Source organism: Homo sapiens, chromosome 16 (genome assembly GCF_000001405.40).
Source record: "Homo sapiens chromosome 16, GRCh38.p14 Primary Assembly".
Lineage (NCBI taxonomy): Eukaryota > Metazoa > Chordata > Mammalia > Primates > Hominidae > Homo > Homo sapiens.
This window is the reverse complement of record NC_000016.10, coordinates 1,472,564-1,493,092: the sequence shown is the minus strand read 5'-3', so window position 1 is coordinate 1,493,092 and position 20,529 is coordinate 1,472,564. Positions and strand designations below refer to the sequence as shown.

General features: G+C 54.1%; 2 protein-coding genes and 1 pseudogene across 4 annotated transcripts in view, besides 5 other annotated features; 2 read left to right on the top strand and 1 right to left on the bottom strand.

Annotated features, from left to right (window-relative positions):
* Positions 26 to 75: an enhancer, noted in NCBI's record as "active region_10226". NCBI's record gives its function as "activates an Ori minimal core promoter by ATAC-STARR-seq in GM12878 lymphoblastoid cells {active_cell/tissue: GM12878}" and the evidence as "EXISTENCE:reporter gene assay evidence [ECO:0000049][PMID:35858748]".
* Positions 4,149 to 7,207, top strand: PTX4 (pentraxin 4). Of its 2 annotated transcripts, none has more exons than NM_001328608.2 (3): positions 4,149 to 4,324; positions 5,123 to 5,777; positions 6,514 to 7,207. In NM_001328608.2, exons 1-3 carry the CDS (start codon positions 4,184 to 4,186, stop codon positions 7,152 to 7,154), a joined length of 1,437 nt encoding a protein of 478 aa, NP_001315537.1. In that variant the 5' UTR covers positions 4,149 to 4,183; the 3' UTR covers positions 7,155 to 7,207. The 2 variants fall into 2 exon arrangements, with proteins under 2 accessions (NP_001315537.1, NP_001013680.1); NM_001013658.1 differs by lacking the exon at positions 4,149 to 4,324 and adding an exon at positions 4,626 to 4,751 and having other exon boundaries at positions 6,514 to 7,154.
* Positions 8,623 to 8,825: a silencer, noted in NCBI's record as "fragment chr16:1534269-1534471 (GRCh37/hg19 assembly coordinates)". NCBI's record gives its function as "represses an EF-1alpha promoter that drives an FKBP-Casp9 reporter gene in an ReSE screen in K562 erythroleukemia cells {active_cell/tissue: K562}" and the evidence as "EXISTENCE:reporter gene assay evidence [ECO:0000049][PMID:32094911]".
* On the bottom strand, positions 14,503 to 15,110 carry RPS3AP2 (RPS3A pseudogene 2; annotated as a pseudogene).
* Positions 17,562 to 18,105: an enhancer, noted in NCBI's record as "H3K27ac hESC enhancer chr16:1524989-1525532 (GRCh37/hg19 assembly coordinates)". NCBI's record gives its function as "activates a minimal SCP1, AML or CMV promoter by ChIP-STARR-seq in naive H9 embryonic stem cells {active_cell/tissue: H9 hESC(naive)}" and the evidence as "EXISTENCE:reporter gene assay evidence [ECO:0000049][PMID:30033119]".
* Positions 17,643 to 17,992: a silencer, noted in NCBI's record as "silent region_6987". NCBI's record gives its function as "represses an Ori minimal core promoter by ATAC-STARR-seq in GM12878 lymphoblastoid cells {active_cell/tissue: GM12878}" and the evidence as "EXISTENCE:reporter gene assay evidence [ECO:0000049][PMID:35858748]".
* The window catches only part of CLCN7 (chloride voltage-gated channel 7), a 30,094-nt gene continuing 27,629 nt past the window's right edge, over positions 18,065 to 20,529 (top strand). For both annotated transcript variants that reach the window (NM_001114331.3, NM_001287.6), the window contains exon 1: positions 18,065 to 18,259. In NM_001114331.3, the coding sequence (NP_001107803.1) occupies positions 18,119 to 18,259 (141 nt within the window). In that variant the 5' untranslated portion in view covers positions 18,065 to 18,118. The remainder of the gene's footprint in view (positions 18,260 to 20,529) is intronic.
* Positions 18,113 to 18,322: a silencer, noted in NCBI's record as "silent region_6986". NCBI's record gives its function as "represses an Ori minimal core promoter by ATAC-STARR-seq in GM12878 lymphoblastoid cells {active_cell/tissue: GM12878}" and the evidence as "EXISTENCE:reporter gene assay evidence [ECO:0000049][PMID:35858748]".

Below are 20,529 nucleotides of genomic sequence, written 5' to 3'. Positions count from 1 at the left end.
AGGCAGATGTTTACCAAGACAGGCCTGGCTCGTCTTCCCCGGATGTAAGGCTCTGCTTTCAAGGGTCAGAGGCCAGTAAGGGAAACGCACGGTACACAAGGAAGTAAAAGAGCAGTTGAGATCATGTCAGATCTGAACAATTGCAGCTCCGTAAATGAGGCCGGGTCGTGGAATAAAAACTGCGACCAGTAGGGTAAGCGCTAGACGCATGTGGCTCTGTAAATTAACTGAAGTTAAATAAGTCCAGTTCCCTTGCAGCACTAGCCCCATCTCAAGGGCTCGGTACTACCTTTGGCTGTGGCCGCCAGGCTGGACAGCCGGACACTGAACATTTACAACATGCAGTGCCTTCTGTACACCGCAGCGGAGTGTGGGGGGCTTCATCTTTGTGGAGGGGGCAATCCAGGAAGACACCTAAAGAGGCGCCATTTCAGCAGTGATGGATGTGGGAAAAGCTGGGGAACAGTTATCCATTCAACAAACATTGATTAAATGCCTGCTTGGTGCACCAAGCCTTCTGAGCAACAAATGATGCAAAGTTCCTGCTCACCTATCGGGGGAACAGATAAAGTACATACGAAATATGCCAGGTGACAGGCCTCGAGCAGAAAAACTGGCAGAGGCCGGGCCCGGTGGCTCACGCCGGTAATTCCAGCACTGGGAAGCTGAGGTGGGAGAATCGTTTGCACCCAGAAGTTCAAGAATGGGAAAAATAGTGAGACCCTGTCTCTACAAAAAATTTAAAAATTAGCCAGGCACGGTGTCATGAGCCTGTGATCCCAGCTACTCAGGAGGCTGAGGTGGGAGGATGGCTTGAGCCCGGGAGGTTGAGGCTGCAGTGAGCCATGTTCACTGCCACTGCACTCCAGCCTGGACAACAGAGCAAGACCCTGTTTCAAAAAAAAAAAAGGAATCAAAATAAAAAACCGGTAGGGTAAGAAAATAAGAGCCAGTGGCCGGGCACAGTGGTTCACACCTCTAATCCCAGCACTTAGGGAGGCCGAGACGGGTGGGTCACAAGCTCAGGAGTTCGAGACCAGCCTGGCCAACATGGTGAAACCCCGTCTCTCCTAAAAAAAGAATAATAATAATAATAATAGTAATACAAAAATTAGTTGGGCGTGGTGGCATGTGTCTGTGATCCCAGCTACTTGGGAGGCTGAGGCAGGAGAATTGCTTGAACCCAGGAGGCAGAGGTTGCAATGAGTGGAGATTGTGCCATTGAACTCCAGCCTGGGTGACAGAGCGAGACTCCTCCAAAAAAAAAAAAAAAGAAAAGAGCCAGAGAGCAGTGGGTGCTGTCTTACGTAAGGTGAGAGCTCTGAACAGAACACCTTAGAGCAGAGCCCTGAATGTGTTGACAGCCAGGGAAGAGTCTCACTGGCAGGAAAACGGCAGGTGCAAAGGCCTGAGGCCGCAACTGTTGCCCGGGAGGTGGAGCCGAGGGAGGCATATGCAGGGGTGAGGCCTGGAGGGAGTGAGGCAGTGGGCCAGGCCACAGAAGGCCCTCGCAGGGACTAAGATTTTGCTTGTGTGGCAGGCATCTCCTGGAGCCATTGAAGGCACGGGTCCATGCTGGTGCAGTTAGGAGAGCAGACGGTAGGGGGGCGACACGGACGAGGGGACTAGGTGGCCATTGTGAGGATGAGCTTGGGGCGGAATGGGGGTGTAGAGAAGCAGCTGAACTCAGGGCATGTCTCTGCAGGCAGAGCTGATGGATGGGATATGGGGCAGGCAGCATCCCATCATCCCGGAAACTCCTCCTCCGTCCGCTGCTGGGTTCCAGCCCTCGCCAGTGCCCACGGCAGCTCCGTCCTTCCCTATTCCCTTCTTTTCCTGAAGCCCCGCATCCAACAGTGGGTGCTTGGAGGACAAATTTCTCAAGCCTTTGTGTGTCTGAAAATGTCTTTATTCTTTGCTCTGTCACCCAGGCTGGAGTGTAGTGGCGCGATTTCAGCTCACTGCAACCTCCTTCTCCCCGGCTCAGGCGATCCTCCCGCCTTAGCCTTCCAAGTAGCTGGGACTGCAGGTGCACACCACCACGTCTGGCTGATTTTTGTAATTTTAGTAGAGACGGGGTTTTGCCATGTTGCCCAGCCTGGTCTCGATCTCCTGGACTCAAGTGATCTGCCCACCTTGACCTCACAAAGTGCTGGGATTACAGGAGAGAGCCACCACACCCTGCCCCGACCCACAACTTTAAATGGAAATCAGGCAGGCTCAGTGGCTCACGCCAGTAAACCCAGCACTTTGGCTAGGCTGAGCTGGGAGGATTGCTTGAGCCCAGGAGTGTTTGAGAACAGCCTGGCAACATAGCAAGACCCTTCTCTACCGAAATAAAATAAATACATAAATAAATGGAACTCACTGTCAGTTGGAAGCTGCGAGATCCGCCGCTCTGTGTGTGGCACCAGCGTCGCTGTCCTGGTGGCTGCCAGTCCCCCGGGGCCTAAGGCCCCAACCCCGTCCATGTGCCCAGGATGTTCTCTCCGATGCTTTCTGCATCTTCTCCATGTCCATGGTGTTCTGACGCTTGACAAGGGGAGCCTGGGGGCCACCGATGGTTTCCTGGCCTGGCACCCTCTTGGCTCATGCCACCTTGGGAATGATGGATGCCCCCAGTGGGACAACTTTGTGGATGATCTTATTCCCATGAGCTGGGCGGCTTGAAACAACAGAAATGAGTCCTATCACAGTTCTGGGGGCTGGAAGTCTTGAAGTGAAGGTGCACACTCCCTCGAAGGCTCTGGGCTGGGGGTTCCCACTTTACCTCTTCCAGCTTCTGGGGCCTCTGGGGGTTCCTCGTGGCAGCGTCACCCCAGTCTCTGCCCCATCTTCACAGGCCGTGTCCTCTGTGCCTCCTCCTCTGTCTCTTGTACCCCTGTCATTGGCTTTAGGGCCACCTGGATAATCCAGGATGGTCTCATCTCAAAATCCTTCATGACATCCGCAGAGACCTTTTCCACATAAGGCCCTGCCTGGGGCTTATGTGTGTTTTTAGGAGGGTCTCATTCAAGCCAGTACACAACCTGTAACCAAAAATACCAGCCTGGCCCACATGGGGCAACCCCGTCTCTACTACAAATACAAAAATTGGCCGGGCGCGGTGGCTCATGCCTGTAATCCCAGCATTTCGGGAGGCTACAGCGGGTGGATCACCTGAGGTCGGGAGTTTGAGACCAGCCTGGCCCACATGGTGAAACCCCGTCTCTACTAAAAATACAAAAATTAGCCGGATGTGGGGGCACATACCTGTAATCCCAGCTACTTGGGAGGCTGAGACAGGAGAATCCGTTAAACCCAGGAGGCGGAGCTTGTGGTGAGCGGAGATCGCACCACTGCACTCCAGCCTGGGTGACAGAGCAAGACTCCGTCAAAAAAATTAATTAATTGGCCAGGCGCAGTGGCTCATGCCTGTAATCCGAACACTTAGGGAGGCTGAGGCAGGCAAATCATGAGGTCAGAAGTTTGAGACCAGCCTGACCAACATAGTGAAACCCCATCTCTACTAAAAATACTAAAATTAGCCGGGCATGGTAAAGCACGCCTGTAATCCCAGCTCCTCAGGAGGCAGGAGGCTGAGGAAGGAGAATCGCTTGAGCCGGGGAGGCAGAGGTTGCAGTGAGCTGAGATTGCGCCATTGCACTCTAGCCTAGGCAACAGAACGAGACTCCATCTCAAATAATAATAATAATTAATTAATTAAGGTGGCTCCCAGTCACATTTCCATTGCTTTACTGAGAGAGACGGGGCCTCCCAGGATGCAGCCGTGCACGGCCTGGGTGATGGGTGCCTGTGCAGACCTGGCTCTGTTGACTCCCCAGCCCCCGTCGGGTTCCCTGTCTTGCTTCGACTTCTCGGGAGCACAAGTCCATGTGCTCCTGTTAAAGCCATCGCCTCCTGCCCGCGGGCTTGCACCCAGCTGAATGATTCTTCAAAGAAACTGTTTGCATCTGTTTTAAGCTTGTCTCCTTAGGAACCTGCAAGTCTCAGAGCCCACTGGCTTGAAGGCAGATGCCTTTCATGGAGGCGGCAGGAAGAACCTGACATCCAGCCAGGGCCAAAGAAGGAAAACCACTCAACAGGAGAGCTGGGGGGACGAGACACAAGACAGACCCACGGAGCCACCTTCACCCTCTCCTGCGGCTGGAGGGAGACTGCTGGGGCCTTGCCGTCTCTCCGGATGGGTTGCTCGTGGAGGAAGACCTTGTCTTTCTTCCTTGTTTTTGTGCCTATATATCTACATGGGGCTTCATCGCAGGAAGCCGCCCCAGTGGGGCCCAGGAAACCGTTTTTCGAGAGGCTCCGTAGGCTGGAGGAACAGGCAAGTTATACCCCTGACATGGCGCAGTCGGGTTTTTAAATTGGCAGCAGATGGAAGACGGATGTTACAGAAGCAGATTGGTAAACATCAGGGCTTGGCGGACACGAACACCGCGTGTGACGCTCTTTCCATCCATGAAGATTATTTCACCTGCAGTTGGACACCAGGGAAGAGCTGAGCTGGGCTCCACTCACACAGGACACAAGCCTCATAACATGTGGGGGTCAGGTGGGGCCAGAGGCTAGAAGGGGGTCTGGAAGGGAGTCAGGGGAACTGGGGGCCATGGGGGCCGGGTAGTGTCATGGGGAGTGGAAACTGGGAGGTCACAGGTCCACCTTGTGGCAGTCGGTGTGAACGGCCTCCCGGACTCCCACGCGGGGTCCACGGACAGTTCCGGAGTGCTGTGGGCCTGTCGGGCCTGCGCTGGGTGCTTCCTGTTTGGGCCTCGTAAAGCACTCATGAGGCCACCCTGCCGTCCCCTGCTCACAGGCAGGAGCTGGAATCACGAGGGAAAGTGACTTGCCGGTGGTTATGGGGTGAGCGGTGGGGATCAGAGCCCCAGCTGTGGGCCTGGAGTCCACACCCCACGTGGTGCAGCTGCATGGCCTGGGGTCAGTCCCTGGCACCCACCACATCTCACGGCATCGCAGTGGGGATCAAATCGGTGGGCAGATAGCCAGTGCTGGCCGTGGCCCGGGCACGCGGCCGCTGCTCCCAACTTGAGAGGGCAAAGCCTTTCCCGTCCCGCCCAGCCGGCCCGGCCCGGCCCGCCCCATCATCACCGTGTCCTCCTTACAGTTCCGGAGATTCCAGGAGGTGACCTGGACACACCTGCAGAACATCGCCAGCAACTACAACGTGTCCTACAACGTTGACGTCCGGTTCCGGAGCCTGGCGGAAGAGAGCCAGGCTGTGGCTCAGGCAGTCAACCGGTCACAGGCCTCGGTGCAGGGGGAGCTGGCGCAGCTCAAGGCCTGGGTGAGGAAGCTGCAGCGCCGAGGCCGGAAAGTAGACACGCGGCTGCGGGCCTTGGACCTCACCCTGGGCGAGAGGAGCCAGCAGCGGGCCCGGGAAAGGAAGGCACACAAGGCCCAGAGGGACGCCCTGCAGGACTCACTGGCACGCCTGGAGGGCCTCGTCCACAGCCAGGGCGCCAGGCTGGCTGCTCTGGAGGGGCGGCTGCCCGTGGCCCACCCTGGCACTGCAGCCCTCGGGCCGGCCCTGGTCCCAACCCCAACCCAGCCTGAGGAGCTGGGCCCGACCTCCCTGAAGCTTCAGAGGGACAGGCAGGAGCTCCGAGCTGCCTCTGAGCACAGGGGCCCCCCACAGGACTCCTCGGCCCCTCTCCAAGGGAGGCGGGAGCCTCCAGCCTCAGGCAGCCATCGGGTACTCAGTGGGACTGCCCCAAAAGACCCTCGGCAGCAGGCATGGTCCCCCCAGGTGCCAGGAGAGAGTAAGTACCACAGGCTCCCAGCTCACGGCCAGGCTTCCCTCCAGCTCCTCCTTAGACCAGGCCCCCTGGAAAAGGCTTCTCAAAAGAGGTTCAGTTAGGGGCCGGGAGATGGGGAGAGGGTCTCGGATCATCGGGGGGGGTGGCCCACCGTCATCACAGAGGCTTTCTAAGGGGAGGCAGGAGGAACACAGTCAGAGGAGGGCGTGAGGGCAGAAGCAGAGGTGGCGGGATGCACAGACGAGGAGGCCCCACGCCGAAGGGTGCAGGCGCCTCTGGAAGCTGGAAAGGGCGGGAGATGGTTTCTCCTGGAGCCTCCAGAGGAACCAGCCCTGTCCACACCTGATTTGAGCCCTGGGAGACCGTGTTGGCCTTGTGACCGCCAGAAATGTGAAACACTAAACCTGCGCTGTTGTGAGTCATGAAATTTGCAGAGACTCCCTGGCAGTGAGGGGCGCTGGCTCAGCTGGGTGGGCCGACAGCTAGGGCTCCTAGCAGGACCCCGCCACTCCCGAGTACGGCCCTCATGTTCAGTCTTCCCGCCTGTGGAACTGGGGTGATCCCATCAAGAGAGTGAAGGAGACGCTGCAGGGGAGCCATCGGCAGGGCCAGCGCAGAGTCAGTGCTCCGTGAAGGGTGGCAGCCGGGAGTGGGAGGCCAGGCACCCACAGCACGTGTGCTTCTGGATGCTTCTGCTCGGCCTCCTGCAAGGGGTTGACCCTCCCTCCTCTGTTTCTAGTTTGCGGCGTGGGCCCCACCCTCGTTTTCCCAAACGCCTCCACCAGGAACGTGGTCTTCCTCAGCCCTGGTTTCGTCACTGCCCTGCGAGCCCTGTCCTTCTGCAGCTGGGTCCGCACGGCCTCCGGCCGCCTGGGCACCCTCCTGTCCTACGCCACCGAGGACAATGACAACAAGCTGGTGCTGCACGGCCGAGACTCCCTGCTGCCCGGATCCATCCACTTCGTGATCGGGGACCCGGCCTTCAGGGAGCTGCCCTTGCAGCTGCTGCTGGACGGCCAGTGGCACCACATCTGTGTCATCTGGACGTCCACCCAGGGCAGGTACTGGCTCCACGTGGATCGCAGGCTGGTGGCCACCGGCTCCCGCTTCAGGGAGGGCTATGAGATCCCCCCCGGAGGGTCCCTCGTGCTGGGCCAGGAACAAGACAGCGTGGGGGGCGGATTCGACAGCTCCGAGGCCTTCGTGGGGAGCATGTCTGGCTTGGCTATCTGGGATCGGGCGCTGGTTCCCGGGGAAGTTGCAAACCTTGCCATCGGGAAAGAGTTCCCGACAGGTGCCATCCTGACGCTGGCCAATGCTGCACTAGCAGGCGGATTTGTGCAGGGGGCCAACTGCACCTGCCTGGAACGCTGTCCCTGAGGCCGAGCCGCACGGGGGCTGAGGCCAGCAAGGGCAGCATGCCCCCATCCACATTCCGCCACCGCCCTCCCCGCCAGCACATTCTACAAAGGCCACCCCCACCCGTCCTGGCTTTGCACACCTGCGCCCTCACATAGGGGTGCCTATTCCATCCTGGGGAGTGGGGAGGTGGACAGGGAGCGAACAGAGACAGAGAGAGCCTGGGGTCAGGGTGGCCTGCAAGCCCATGTTTCTTCCATCACCACGGCATTCTTACTTCCTGCACTGTCTTCCTTTCTTTTTTTTCTTTTTTTTTTTTTTTTTGAGACGGAGTCTCACTTTGTTGTGCAGGCTAGAGTGCAGTGGCGCGATCTCAGCTCACTGCAAGCTCCACCTCCCGGGTTCACACCATTCTCCTGCCTCAGCCTCCCAAGTAGCTGGGACTATAGCGCCTGCCACCATGCCAGGCTAATTTTTTTGTATTTTTAGTAGAGAGGGGTTTTCACCATATTAGCCAGGATGGCCTCAATCTCCTGACCTCGTGGTCTGCCAGCCTTGGCCTCCCAAAGTGCTGGGATTACAGGCGTGAGCCACTGTGCCCGGCCCCTTTCTTTCTTATCTTTTTTTTTTTTTTTTGAGATGGAGTCTCACTCTGTCTCCTAGGATGGAGGGCAATGGCATGATCTTGGCTCACTGCAACCTCCGCCTCCCAGATTCAAGCAATTCTCATGCCTCAGCCTCCTGAGTAGCTGGGATTACAGGTGCCCGCCACCACGCCTGGCCCCTCCCTCCCTCCCTTCCTTCTTCCTTTCCCGTTCCCTCCCTCCCTCCCTCCATTCCTTCCTTCCCTCTTCCTCTTTCTCTCTCTCTTCTCTCTTTATCTCTCTCTCTCTTTGTTTCTGACAGAGTCTTACACTGTCGCCCAGGCTGGAGTACAGTGGCACAATCATAGCTCACTGCAGCCTCAACCTCCCGAGCTCAGCTGATCCTCCCACGTCAGCCTCCTGAGTAGCTGGGACTAGAGGCACACACTAACGCGCCTGGCTGAAAATTTTTTATTTCTTTTTTCTTTTTCTTTCTTTTTTTTTGAGATGGGGTCTTGCTTGTTGCCCAGCCTGGAGTGCAGTAGTGCAATCTTGGCTCACTGCAACCTCCACCTTTTGGGATAAAGCGATTCTCCTGCCTTAGCCTTCCAAGTAGCTGGGACTATAGGTGTGCATCACCATGCCCAGCTCTAATGTTTGTATTTTTAGTAGAGATGGAGTTTCAACCTGTTGGTCAGGCTGGTCTCGAACTCCTGACCTCAGGTGATCCACCTGCCTCGGCCTCCCAAAGTGCAGGCGTGAGCCACGGTGCCTGGCCCAGGCAATGCTTTTAAAACAACTTTATTGGCTTGGCGCCGTGGTTCACGCCTGTAATCCTAACACTTTGGGAGGCAGAGGCGGGTGGATCGCTTGAGTCCAGGAGTTTGAGACCAGTCTGGTTAACACGGGGAAACCCCATCTCTACTTAAAAAAAATACAAAAAATTTAGCCAGGTGTGGTGGTCTGTGCCTGTAGTTCCAGCTTCTTGGGAGGCTGAGGTGGGAGAATCACTTGAGCCTGGGAGGCTGAGGCTGCAGTGAGCCGAGATCGCGCCACCGCACTCCAGCCAGGGCAACCGGAGTGAGACCCTGTCTCAAAAAACAAAACAAAACAAAACCTTATTGAGGTAAAATTTACATATCATAAAATTCACGTTTCAAGCGCATAGTTCAAAGATTTGTAGTGAATTTACAGAGTTGTACAGCCATCGTTAACAACCCAGTTTTAGGACCTTTCTGTTCCCTTCCTTAAAAAGTGTAGCAATTGCTCCTGGGTCCCCCGCACCCTCCCCAGCCTCTGGCAGCCACCTGCCTGTTTTCTGTCTCTATGGATTTGCCTGTTCTGGACACTGCATACAAATAAACCAAAAGCAATTGTCTGTTTGTGTCTGGCTTCTTTTAATTAGCACAAGGTTTTCAAGCTTCGTCCACGCCGCGGCATGTCTCAGCGTTTCATCTGCGTTGTTGCCAAAGCATGTCACGTTGTATGGATGGACCGCAGTTCGTTTATCTGTTCATCCGCTGGTGGACATCTGGGTAGTTTCCAGCTGGGGTTACTGCGGATAAAGTCGCTCTGAGCACTCTCAGACGAGTCTTTGTGTGGGCATTTTTTTCGCTTTGGTGGATACCTAGCAGTACAATTGCCGGTCTTATGGTAAATTCACGTCTAGGCTTCCTGTTGTTTTGAGACAGAGTTTCACTCTTGTCGCCCAGGCTGGGGTTAATGGCGCAATCTCAGCTCACTGCAAGCTCCGCCTCCCGGGTTCAAGCGATTCTCCTGCCTCAGCCTCCCGAGTAGCTGGGATTACAGGCGTGAGCCCCAAGGCCCGGCCCATGTCTAGGCTTTCAGAGAAACTGCCCAACTGTTTTCCAAAGTTGCTGCATCATTTTTCATTCCCGCCAGCAATCTATGAAGGTTCCTGTTTCTCCACATCCTTGTCCACACTTGGTTTTGTGTTTTCTTTCTTTCTTTCTTTCTTTTTGAGACAGAGTCTCACTCTGTTGCCCACGCTGGAGTGCAATGGCGCAATCTCAGCTCACTGCAACCTCCACCTCCCAGGTTTAAGCAATTCTCCTGCCTCAGCCTCCCGAGTAGCTGGGATCACAGGTGCTGCCACCACCACGCCCGGCTAATTTTTTTGTATTTTTAGTAGAGACTGGGTTTCACCATGTTGGCCAGGCTAGTCTTGAACTCTTGACCTCAGGTGATCCACCCGCCTCGGCCTCCCAAAGTGCTGGGATTACAGGCATGAGCCACTGTGCCCAGCCTCTCTTTTTGATAATTTTTTTTTAATTCCAAATCACGGCAGGGTAAAAAACAAAATTTGCATTGACCATTAGAACAGACTTGTACTGAAGTTTCAGTCTGGTGTAAATTGACTTCATGATGTTGGAGATTCCCAAGAAAGGCCCAAACACAAGATCTCCAAGAATCCAAAAGTCAGCTGGTGCAGACAGGAGAAAGCGGGGCGTGGGGTGGGGTGGGGCAGGGGAGGGGCCCAAATCCGCTGATCGAGAGAACAGGCCTGGTTCTCAGAATTTGCCAATCCCTCCCATTCTCCCTCTTCCTATCTGAAAAGTGAGGAGGCCGACGAGAGAGGTCCCACAGCCTTCACTAGCAGATCCACAAGGGGCCCGAGCCCCTCCGCCCAGTGCGTAGGTGGTTTCAGCTCTGCGGATGCCTGGACCCTGCCCAGCTGGCACCGTGGGGAAAGTGCCCTAAGTCAGTCCCTGGAGTCTCCTAGCAATGTCTCTGCAGAGCAGCCTGTAGACCCAAACTGGACCCCAGCAAGTTTGGGCTTTCAGGTCAAGATCAGCCCAGCCCGCCTCCCCCAGTGCCACCTGTGCATGACTCAAGGTCAGAGATGGGATTTTAGAGCTGGAAAGCCCCGCGGATGCCGGCGTGACGGTTCCCCGAGTCACTCACCGAGTTGTGCTTCTGCATGACAGTGTGTAACTCTATGGACGGCAGCTCCTTCCCAAACCTTTTTCTTTCCCCAGCCTCCTCAGATGCTTTCTGGAACGCCCTTGCTCCACCCCACTCTGCCTTTGAGGAGGGAGCCATAGGACGTCTTTTTTGGGGAAAGATTGGTCATTCGGGTCACAAATATTTCTTGTGACAGTGATGTCCTTAGCACAGTTGTCTTGCCCAGGGTCCCAAGAAGGTGAACTGGGGCAGGGCTTTGAGACAAAGGCTCTAGTGGCCCCCAGATGGGTGCAGCCCCTCCCCAGCTTGCGGGTGCTTCCAGCGCCCTGGGGGACCAAGATGTCGCCCGGGCCACAGCGGTATTCAGCTGCGTGGCCACAGAATCTAAGCCTCAGGGACTCGGCAGAGGTGGGCGTTCAGGATGCTTCACGGGGAGGGCTCAGCTCACTCCAGGTGGGAGAACAGCAGAGCAAGGGCTTGGACTTGGGAGTATGGGGGCAGCTTGGGGATTGTGGGGATTTGGGGCCAGTCTTGGGTTTGGAGTAGGGCTGTCTGGGCATCCATCTCATGTGGCTCACCAACCCCACTGGGAGCAGCAACAAAGCCCCCTGCTCATTTCTTTTTTCCTTTCTCATTGTATTTTTTGATCTTTCTCAGCAGAATCATACCTGTGCATTTTGAGGTGTGAACCACACCCACCTCTAAGGCCCACTGAATCCCACCTTTCACCAAGTCTGTTACGTTTCCGGGTGAGGAGGACAAACCACAAAAAATACAGACAAAAAACCTACAGGGGCCCTTGTCTTGCTGGGGAAGTCAGTTCCCGACAAGGAGCCCCTCCCCCACCCTACCCACCCCCCAGCCCATTCCTCTTCTGAAACAGCCACTTGTCCCAGAAAAGGACACACTTAGGTCCCTGGGCTGAGAAGGATGGCCTTTGGGACCTGGCTTCCCCTCCCCAGCATGACCCCTTCTTCCCAAGCTCTGTTCTTGTGGGTTCTGCATACAGCCCCACCATGCCCCACTCCAGCACTCTGCTCAGCTCTCTGCCCACCTGGGTATCTTCATCCAAACCCTCCTCAACCCACAAGACCCAAGTCCATCCATTCAATTCAATCAACAATGTGCTGCACTCCTACTGGGTCAGGCAACATGGTGCCTGCCTCTGAGAAGCCTGGGGAGGGGAACTGTCCCACCTCTGAACCCCCCAGGGGACTTGCTGTCAGTCCTTGACTCAAAGCATTTGAGAGCAAGAGTTTTGAAATCAAACTAACCCAGGTTCAACTCCTGCCTGCTTGTGGGGAGCCTTGGAAAAGTCAGCTTCATTCTCATCTTTAACGCTCGCTGTCCTGTATGACATGGGGGTGCAATGCCCTTGTCACCATCCCTCAAAAGGGCAAAGCCAGCCAGGCGTGGTGGCTCACGCCTATACTCCCAGTACTTTGGGAGGCTGAGGCAGGTGGATCACTTGAGGTCAAAAGTTCAAAACCAGCCTAGCCAACGTGGTAAAACCCCGTCTCTACCGAAAATACAAAAAATTAGCCAGGCTTGGTGACACGCACCTATAATCCCAGCTACTCGGGAGGCTGAGGCAGGAGAATCGCTTGAACCTGGGAGGCAGAGGTTGCGGTGAGCTGAGATCATGCCACTGCATTCCAGCCGGGGCAACACAGCGAGACTCCATCTCAAAAACAAAACAAAACAAAACAAGCACAAAGGCAGGGCACACCCATGAGAAAAATACCTTTTTTCAAAGAATGTTGTTCATGGTATTTCAGAAAAAGTATTGTAGTGTAATCACTGGGGAATTCAAAACCCTTTTAGATTTCCTTCCTCTTATTTTGGGCTTAGTTTTGGTTTTATTTTGATATAAGCAAGGGAGGGTTCCATTATCTTCTCAGCTTTAGAGGCTCTAAGGAACTTTTATTTATTTATTTATTTTTTTTTTTTTTTGAGACGGAGTCTTGCTCTGTCACCCAGGCTGGAGTGCAGTGGCACGATCTCGGCTCACGGCAAGGTCCGCCTCCCAGGTTCACACCATTCTCCTGCCTCAGCCTCCTTGGTAGCTGGGAGTACAGGTGCCCGCCACCATACCTGGCTAATTTTTTTGTATTTTTACTAGAGATGGGGTTTCATCGTGTTAGCCAGGATGGTCTCAATCTCCTGACCTCGTGATCCACCCGCCTCGGCCTCCCAAAGTGCTGAGATTACAGGCGTGAGCCACCGCGCCCGGCCTCTAAGGAACTTTTAAACTTTTGATTTGGAAAAATTTCAAGCCTAAAAAAAGTTGCAGATGAATACATTGCACATCATATATATTTATTCTAGACTCTTCAAGTGTTATCTTTATTATTATTTTATTTATTTATTTATTTATTAGACAGAGTCTCACTCTGTCACCCAAGCTGGAGTGCAGTGGCGTGATCTTGGCTCACCACAAGCTCCAACTCCCGTGTTCACACCATTCTCCCGCCTCAGCCTCCCAAGTACCTGGGACTACAGGCGCCTGCCACTGCGCCCAGCTAATTTTTTTTTTTTTTTTTGTATTTTTGGTAGAGACGGGGTTTCACCGTGGTCTCCATCTCCTGATCTCGTGATCCGCTCACCTCGGCCTCCCAAAGTGCTGGGATTATAGGCGTGAGCCACCGCACCCGGCCGGCTTTATTTATTATTTTTAAACTTTATTTTAGGTTCAGGGGTACATGTACAGGTTTTTTATATAGGTAAACTCATGTCATGCGGGTTTGTTGTACACATAATTTCCTCACTCAAGTACTAAGCCTGGTACTGGACAGTTATTTTTATTTGTTTTTGAGATGGAGTTTCGCTCTGTCGCCCAGGCCGGAGTGCAGCCGCACCATCTCCCCTCACTGCAACCTCCGCCTCCTGGGCTCAAGTGATTCTTGTGCCTCAGCCTCCCAAGTAGCTGGGATTACAGGTGTGTGCCACCACACCTAGCTAATTTTTGTATCTTCAGTACAGACAGGGTTTCACCATGTTGGCCAGGCTGGTCTTAAACTCCTGACCTCAAGTGATCCACCCACCTCGGCCTCCCAAAGTGCTGGGATTACAGGTGTGAGCCACCACGCCCAGCCCAATATTTTGTTATTTTTTTCGGCTCCTCTCCCTCCTCCCGTCCTCCACCCTTCAATAGGCCTCAGTGTCTGTTTTTTTCCCTTTGTGTCCATGTGTTCTCATCGTTTAGCTCCAACTTATGTGAGAACATGCGGTATTTGCTTTTCTGTTCCTGGGTCAGTTTACTAAGGGTAATGGCCTCCAGCTCTATCCATGTGCCTGCAAAGGACACGATCTCATTCTTTTTTATGGCTGCATAGTATTTCATGGTATACATGTACCACATTTTCTTTATCCAGTCCACCACTGATGGGCATTTAGGTTGATTCCATGTCTTTGCTATTGTGAATAGTGCTGCAATCAACACACGCGTGCGTGTGTTTTTGGTTTTGCTTTTTTTCTGAGACAGAGTCTCGCTCTGTCACTCAGGCTGGAGTGAGGTGGTGCAATCTCAGTTCACTGCAACTTCCATCTCCTGGATTCAAGCGATTCTCCTGCCTTAGCCTCCCAAGTAGCTCAGGTTATAGGCGCCTGCCACCACACCTGGCTAATTTTTGTATTTTTAGTAGACATGGGGTTTCACTATGTTGGCCAGGCTGGTCTCAAACTCCTGACCTCAAGTGATCTACCTACCTCAGTCTCCCAAAGTGTTGGGATTACAGGTGTGAGCCACTGCGCCTGGCCTGCATGTGTTTTAATGATAGAACAATTTATATTCCTTTGGGCATACACCCAGTAAGGGGATTGCTGGGTCAAATGTTAGTTTGGTTATCAACATTCAAAGCCTGAATTTTAAACAGGTTGTTGGGCTGGGGGCTCATATCCGTCAGCTCATTCACATTTAGCACTGGTCTCATCCCCAGTAGCTTTTCCAGGACAGCGACCTTCACCACAAAGCTTGAGTTTTCCCAATGCAAGCCTGGGCTTCCCAAGCATTTTTACTTTTCTAAGGAAGACATCCTGGAGAGGATACCTGGATAGACTGGGGAACCTTCTCTGTGTCTCTCCCAGTGCTGTCTAGCATCAATTCATGGGCCACTTCTTTCGAGTAATTTGTCTGCACCTCTTGGGCCATGATTTCCACCATCTTTTCTGGATTTGACGGGCCTGCCAGTGCTGCCTGTGAGAGGTCTTCCCAATCTGCTTGCTGCACTGTTTTAGTAAAAGCAGCACAGAACAGATGAGGCAAATGATCATCTGTAGTTTTGACAACCATATGAGCTTCAATCATGGTCTTTTTTTTTTTCCATGAAAGCTGGTCAGGCTGTTTTTGCACTGAACATCCTCAGTGATTAGCTTGAATTTTCCAGATGCAACTTCACCATTCTGCAGATGAGCAGTACTGACTTCAAAAACACGGCCCTTGAGGCCATCGGGTGTGATTTTGGTTCCTGACGTCCCTGTGCCTGGTGTTTTCCATACTCCTTATGCCAAGCACAGCTGGTGCTTTCGCCTCATGCCAGTCTCTCTCAGACAGTGGACCAACCTCTTTCTTCTTGGCTCCCTTCCTGCCACTTCGGTTAAGGTGCTCGTTCTTGCCTGCTGCATGGTGGTGCAGACAGCCAAGGGCCAGATGTTAACATTGCCATTTTCCCTCCCTCTCAGAAGGCTGCTACTCATTATGATTATTGTCAGGTTTTGAATTGTCCGAGTGTAAGCTGCAGACATAGCAACACAAGGTCCCAAGTATTTCAGTATGTATCTCCTAAGATCGGGGAGCTTTCCTGACGTAACCACAATATAATGATCACGCGTGGGAGATTTACTACTGCTCCAACACCGTTAGCTCATACAGTGTATGTCCAATCTTTGCCAATTGTCTCAACCATGCCAGACCCACGTGAGGTTGTCTCCTCAGCCTCTCTTTGTCTCTTTCACAATACTGACATTGTGGAAGAAGATGGCCTAGATGTTCAGCAGGCTGTCCCTCAAAGTGGGATTATCTGGTGTTTCCCCTTTATGAGTGGACTCAAGGTGAGCATGTTTTGCAGGAATGCTCCGGAAGGGACGTTGTGTCCTTCCTGGTGCATCACATCAGGAGGCACACGATGCCACCTTATCCCATCACCAGCAATGCTGAACTGGGTTGCTTGGTTCAGGTGGCGCCTGCTAGGTTTCTTTTTTCCCTTCACCGTTAAGAAATGCTGACCCTGGGCCGGGCACGGTGCCTCATTCCTGTAATCCCCGCACTTTGGGAGGCCAAGGTGGGTGGATCACCTGAGGTCAGGAGTTCAAGACATGCCTGGCCAACGTGGAGAAATCCCATCTTTACTAAAAATACAAAAATTAGGCCTGGCGCCATGACTCATGCCTGTAATCCCAGCACTTTGGGAGGCCAAGGCAGGCGGATCACAAGGTCAGGAGATTGAGACCATCCTGGCTAACACGGTGAAACCCCGGGTCTACTAAAAATACAAAAAATTAGCCGGGCGTGGTGGCGGGCGCCTGTAGTCCCAGCTACTTGGGAGGCTGAGGCAGGAGAATGGCGTGAACCCGGGAGGCGGAGCTTGCAGTGAGCCAAGATCACGCCATTGCACTCCAGCCTGGGCAACAGAGCGACACTCTGTCTCAAAAAAAACCAAAAGGAAACAAAAAAAAGAAAAATTAGCCAGGTGTGGTGGCGGGTGCCTGTAATCTCAGCTACTCGGGAGGCTGAGGCAGAAGAATCATTTGAACCCAGGAGGCGGAGGTTGCAGTGATCCAAGATAGCGCCATTGCACTACAGCTTGGGTGACAAGAGTGAAACTCCGTCTCAAAAAAAAAAAAAAAAAAGAAGGAAAAAGAAAAAAGAAATGCCAACCATGGCCGGGCATGGTGGCTCATACGAAGAGTCCTAGCAACTCAGGAGGCTGAGGAAGGAGGATCCCTTGAACCCAAGAGGTCAAGGCTGCAGTGAGCTATGATCTTGTCATTGTACTTCAGCCTGGGTGACAAAGTGAGACTGTGTCTCAAAAATAAAAAAATAATAATAATAATTTAAAAAAAGGCCGGGCACCGTGACTCACGCCTGTAATCTCAGCACTTTGGGAGGCCGAGGCGGGTGGATCACGAGGTCAGGAGATCGAGACCATCCTGGCTAACACAGTGAAACCCCATCTGTACTAAAAATACAAAAAATTAGCCGGCCATGGTGACGGGCGCCTGTAGTCCCGGCTACTCGGGAGGCTGAGGCATGAACCCGGGAGGCAGTGAGCCGAGATTGGGCCACTGCACTCCAACCTGGGCGACAGAGTGAGACTCCGTCTCAATAATAAAAATATCGACCTTTTAAAAGGAAGAGGATGAGGCACAAAATATAAAGAGTTTACTCTAGAGGCTAACGTGGAAGGATCACTTGAGGTCAGAAGTTTGAGAACAGCCTGGGCAACACACTGTGAGCTCCACAGCAAAAATTAGCCGGGTGTGGTGGTGCAGGCCTGTGGTCCCTGTTACTCCAGAGGCTGAGGCGGGAGGATGGCTTGAGTCCAGGAGGTCAAGGCTGCACTGAGCTGTGACCGCACCACCGCACTCCAGCCTGGGCGACAGAAGGAGACCCTGTCTCAAAATAAATAAATAAATGACCCAGAAGGTGGGGACAGGGTGGGGGCTGATGTAAAGCTGTCAAGAATTCTCTTTGGTTTATGGAAATACCATTGATTAGTGATGGGCTGTGCCCTGGTGCGGGTACAGGGTCCGGGCGGCTATTTGGCTAATTCACAGCTATCTGCGTAGTAGCCGGCAGTTTCCAGAGGCGACCCTCCTGTACTGTCTCTGGGGCCTGATCGTTGAAGAGGACTCGCCTTCTGTTCTTTTCTCATTAGGCGGGAGGACCCTCTGGGGCTGCCTGGAGGAAGCCTCCACTCCGACCCTCGCCCGAGTGCCTACTGCGAGGGCGGATGCATGCTTCGGGACTTCTAATTTCATCCTTCACGTCTTTAGCCGCCGCCTATGGCAAGGAAAGGCCTGCCCTCGCCCCTGCCTCCCTCCTCCCTTCCCCACCGCGGCTCCGTCACGATCGGCGCGGGCGACCGGGCCTGGGGGAGCCCCTCCAGCCGGCTCCTGCCCTCAGGCCCCGGGCGCTTCCCTCGCCCCGACTCCCGGGCCCGAGGTCCCGGGGGCGGCCATTCGCCTCCCAAGCACTCGGCGCTCAGCCCAACGGGGCCGCCTTTGCAGTCGCGTGGGCAGAACGGGGTCCTCAGGGCCGCGGCGATTCTCTAGGGCGGGCGGCGCCACGACCCGCCGGGAGCGCGGCTCCCAGGAGCCCCCGCGCGACCGGGCCTCGGTGGTTGCCGTTGCAGGTCACATGGTCGCCGTCGCTCATCACGTGGCCCCGTCGCGCGTCACGTGGCCGCCGGCGCGGGTCACGAGAACAAACACGGGGGCAGCCGGCGCTTCCCGGCCGGTGTCGCTCCGCGGCGGGCCATGGCCAACGTCTCTAAGAAGGTGTCCTGGTCCGGCCGGGACCGGGACGACGAGGAGGCGGCGCCGCTGCTGCGGAGGACGGCGCGGCCCGGCGGGGGGACGCCGCTGCTGAACGGGGCTGGGCCTGGGGCTGCGCGCCAGGTGAGGCCGGGCAGGGCGCAGGCGGGGAAACTGAGCCCTCGTGCGCCCCGCAGCCCGCGCCCTCGTGAGCCTTCTGGCGGCGCCGCGTGTCTCGGTCCTGGAGGCGACCGAGGCGCGGTGGACTCGGGAACGCGCCCCGGGGCTCCTCGGCGGGGCCGGGCTGGCGGGGGCGCCTGGGGTCTGGAGTCTTCGGAGGCCGCGCCGGGCTCGGTGGCCGGGAGGGCTGCGTGGGCGAGGCGGAGCTCGCCAGACCCCGCGGAATGTGGGGCGCTGAGGGGCGCCGGGGCAGCCGTGGCGCACGTTCATTCCCTCCGGTGTCCCCCAGACTGGCCCTAAAGGGGTGCAAGTGGCTTTCTGTTCAGGTGACTTTTAAAAATTGTCATCCTACACGAGCAACTAATTTTGTTTGCGTTTTTGACCCCCTGGGAGATGGAAACAGTTAAGATTGCAGCCGGGTCACTGTCTTTCAGTGAGAATGACTGAGCGCCTTTATCTGCCATCTTTCTGTGTGGGGATCAGTCCCGACTTTCAGGTGATCTTGGGAGTGACGAGTATTTGTACTCAGTCTCCCTTCGCACCGAGTTGAATTTGCAATGTGCAGGCAAACACAATAAGCAGCAAGTCAGAGGTTGGAATGCGTTCCGCATGTCACCCTGCAGCGTGCGTCTGAGCAGTGTTAAGGTCTGGAGAACCGTTGCGGGTACATTTGTTTCCCTGTCTGTGTATTGTCTTAATATTTTTTTTTTTTTGAGACGGAGTTTCACTGTAGTTGCCCAGGCTGGAGTGCAATGGCGCGATCTCGGCTCACTGCAACCCCCACCTCCCGAGTTTAAGTGACTCTCCTGCCTCAGCCTCCTGAGTAGCTGGAATTACAGGCGTGCGCCACCGCGCCCGGCTAATTTTGTATTTTTAGTAGAGACGGGGTTCCTCCGTGTTGGTCAGGCTGGCCTCGAACTCCCGACCTCACGTGATCCCCCGCACCTCAGCCTCCCAAAGTGCTGGGATTACAGGCGTGAGCCACTGCGCCTGGCCGTATTGTGTTACTTTTGAGTTAATGGACCGTTTTGTTGATGGGTCTTAATCTGCTTTGCAGTTATTCTTTACATTTTCTCTTGTCTAGTCCTTTAAACACTTGTCTTGTGCTTAAAGATTAGGAAGGACGGCAGGGCACGGTGGCTCACATCTGTAATCCCAGCACTTTGGGAGGCCGAGGCGGGTGGATCATGAGGTCAGGAGATTGAGACCATCCTGGCTAATATGGTGAAACCCCGTCTCTACTAAAAATACAAAAAATTAGCCAGGCGTGGTGGCGGGCGCCTGTAGTCCCAGCTACTCGGGAGGCTGAGGCAGGAGAATCAATTGAACCCGGGAGGCGGAGCTTACAGTGAGCGGAGATGGCGCTACTGCACTCCAGCCTGGGCAGAGCGAGACTCCGTCTCAAAAAAAAAAAAAAAAAAAAAAAAGTTTAGGAAGGACACGAAAATCAGCCTGTTTCCATAGAACCTACATTTAGGTTTTCCCAATTCCTTAGAAACGCACCAGACAAAGAAGGTCATAGTCTGCCTTTTGCTGATAAGAAGCAGCAGCTCAGCTCCCTTTGAAGTGGGCCCTCCTGCTCTCCGTGCTGTAGTCTGCATGAAAAGTGATCTGAAGGGGTTAATTTGAAGTGATGGGGCCATGGGTGATTAGTTATTTGTGTGTATGCCTGTGTGTGTATGTGTATGCCTCTGTGTGTGTGTGTGTGTGTTTCTGTTTTAAAAGAAAGGCCAGGTGTGGTGGCTCATGCCTGTAATCCTAGCACTTTGGGAGGCCAAGGTAGGGGAGGATCACTTGAGCCCAGAAGTTCAAGACCAGCCTGGGCAAAATAGTGAAACCCTGTCTCAAAAAAAAAAAAACAAAATTAGCCAGGTGTGGTGATATGCATCTGTAGTCCCAGCTACTGGCTCGGGAGGCTGAGGCAGAGGAGTCGCATGAGCCCAGGAGGTTGAAGCTGCAGTGAGGTGCTTTTTTTTTTTTTTTTCCGAGGTAGTTTGTCACTCTTTTGCCCAGGCTGGAGTTTGAGAACCTATCTCAAAAAATTTAAAAAAAATTTTTTTAATTAAAGAAATCTGAAGTTCACAAGGTAGAAGGAATAAACCCAACTTTAAGGGCTGAAAGGTAAAGATTAGGAACCTTGATGGAGGTTGAATTTGAGTTTCTCTTGGGACTGAATGTGCTTGGGGTTTCCTGTCTGTCTTTGCAAATAGAAGAGTTGATTTTTTGGGAAATAA

Excerpts from the sequence above, each read along its gene's own strand:
- PTX4 (NM_001328608.2), top strand. The coding sequence starts at position 4,184 with ATGGGTTGCTCGTGGAGGAAGACCTTGTCTTTCTTCCTTGTTTTTGTG. Across the intron at positions 4,325-5,122 it reads TCCGTAGGCTGGAGGAACAG|TTCCGGAGATTCCAGGAGGT; the intron begins GCAAGTTATACC and ends TCCTCCTTACAG. Across the intron at positions 5,778-6,513 it reads CCCCCAGGTGCCAGGAGAGA|TTTGCGGCGTGGGCCCCACC; the intron begins GTAAGTACCACA and ends CTCTGTTTCTAG.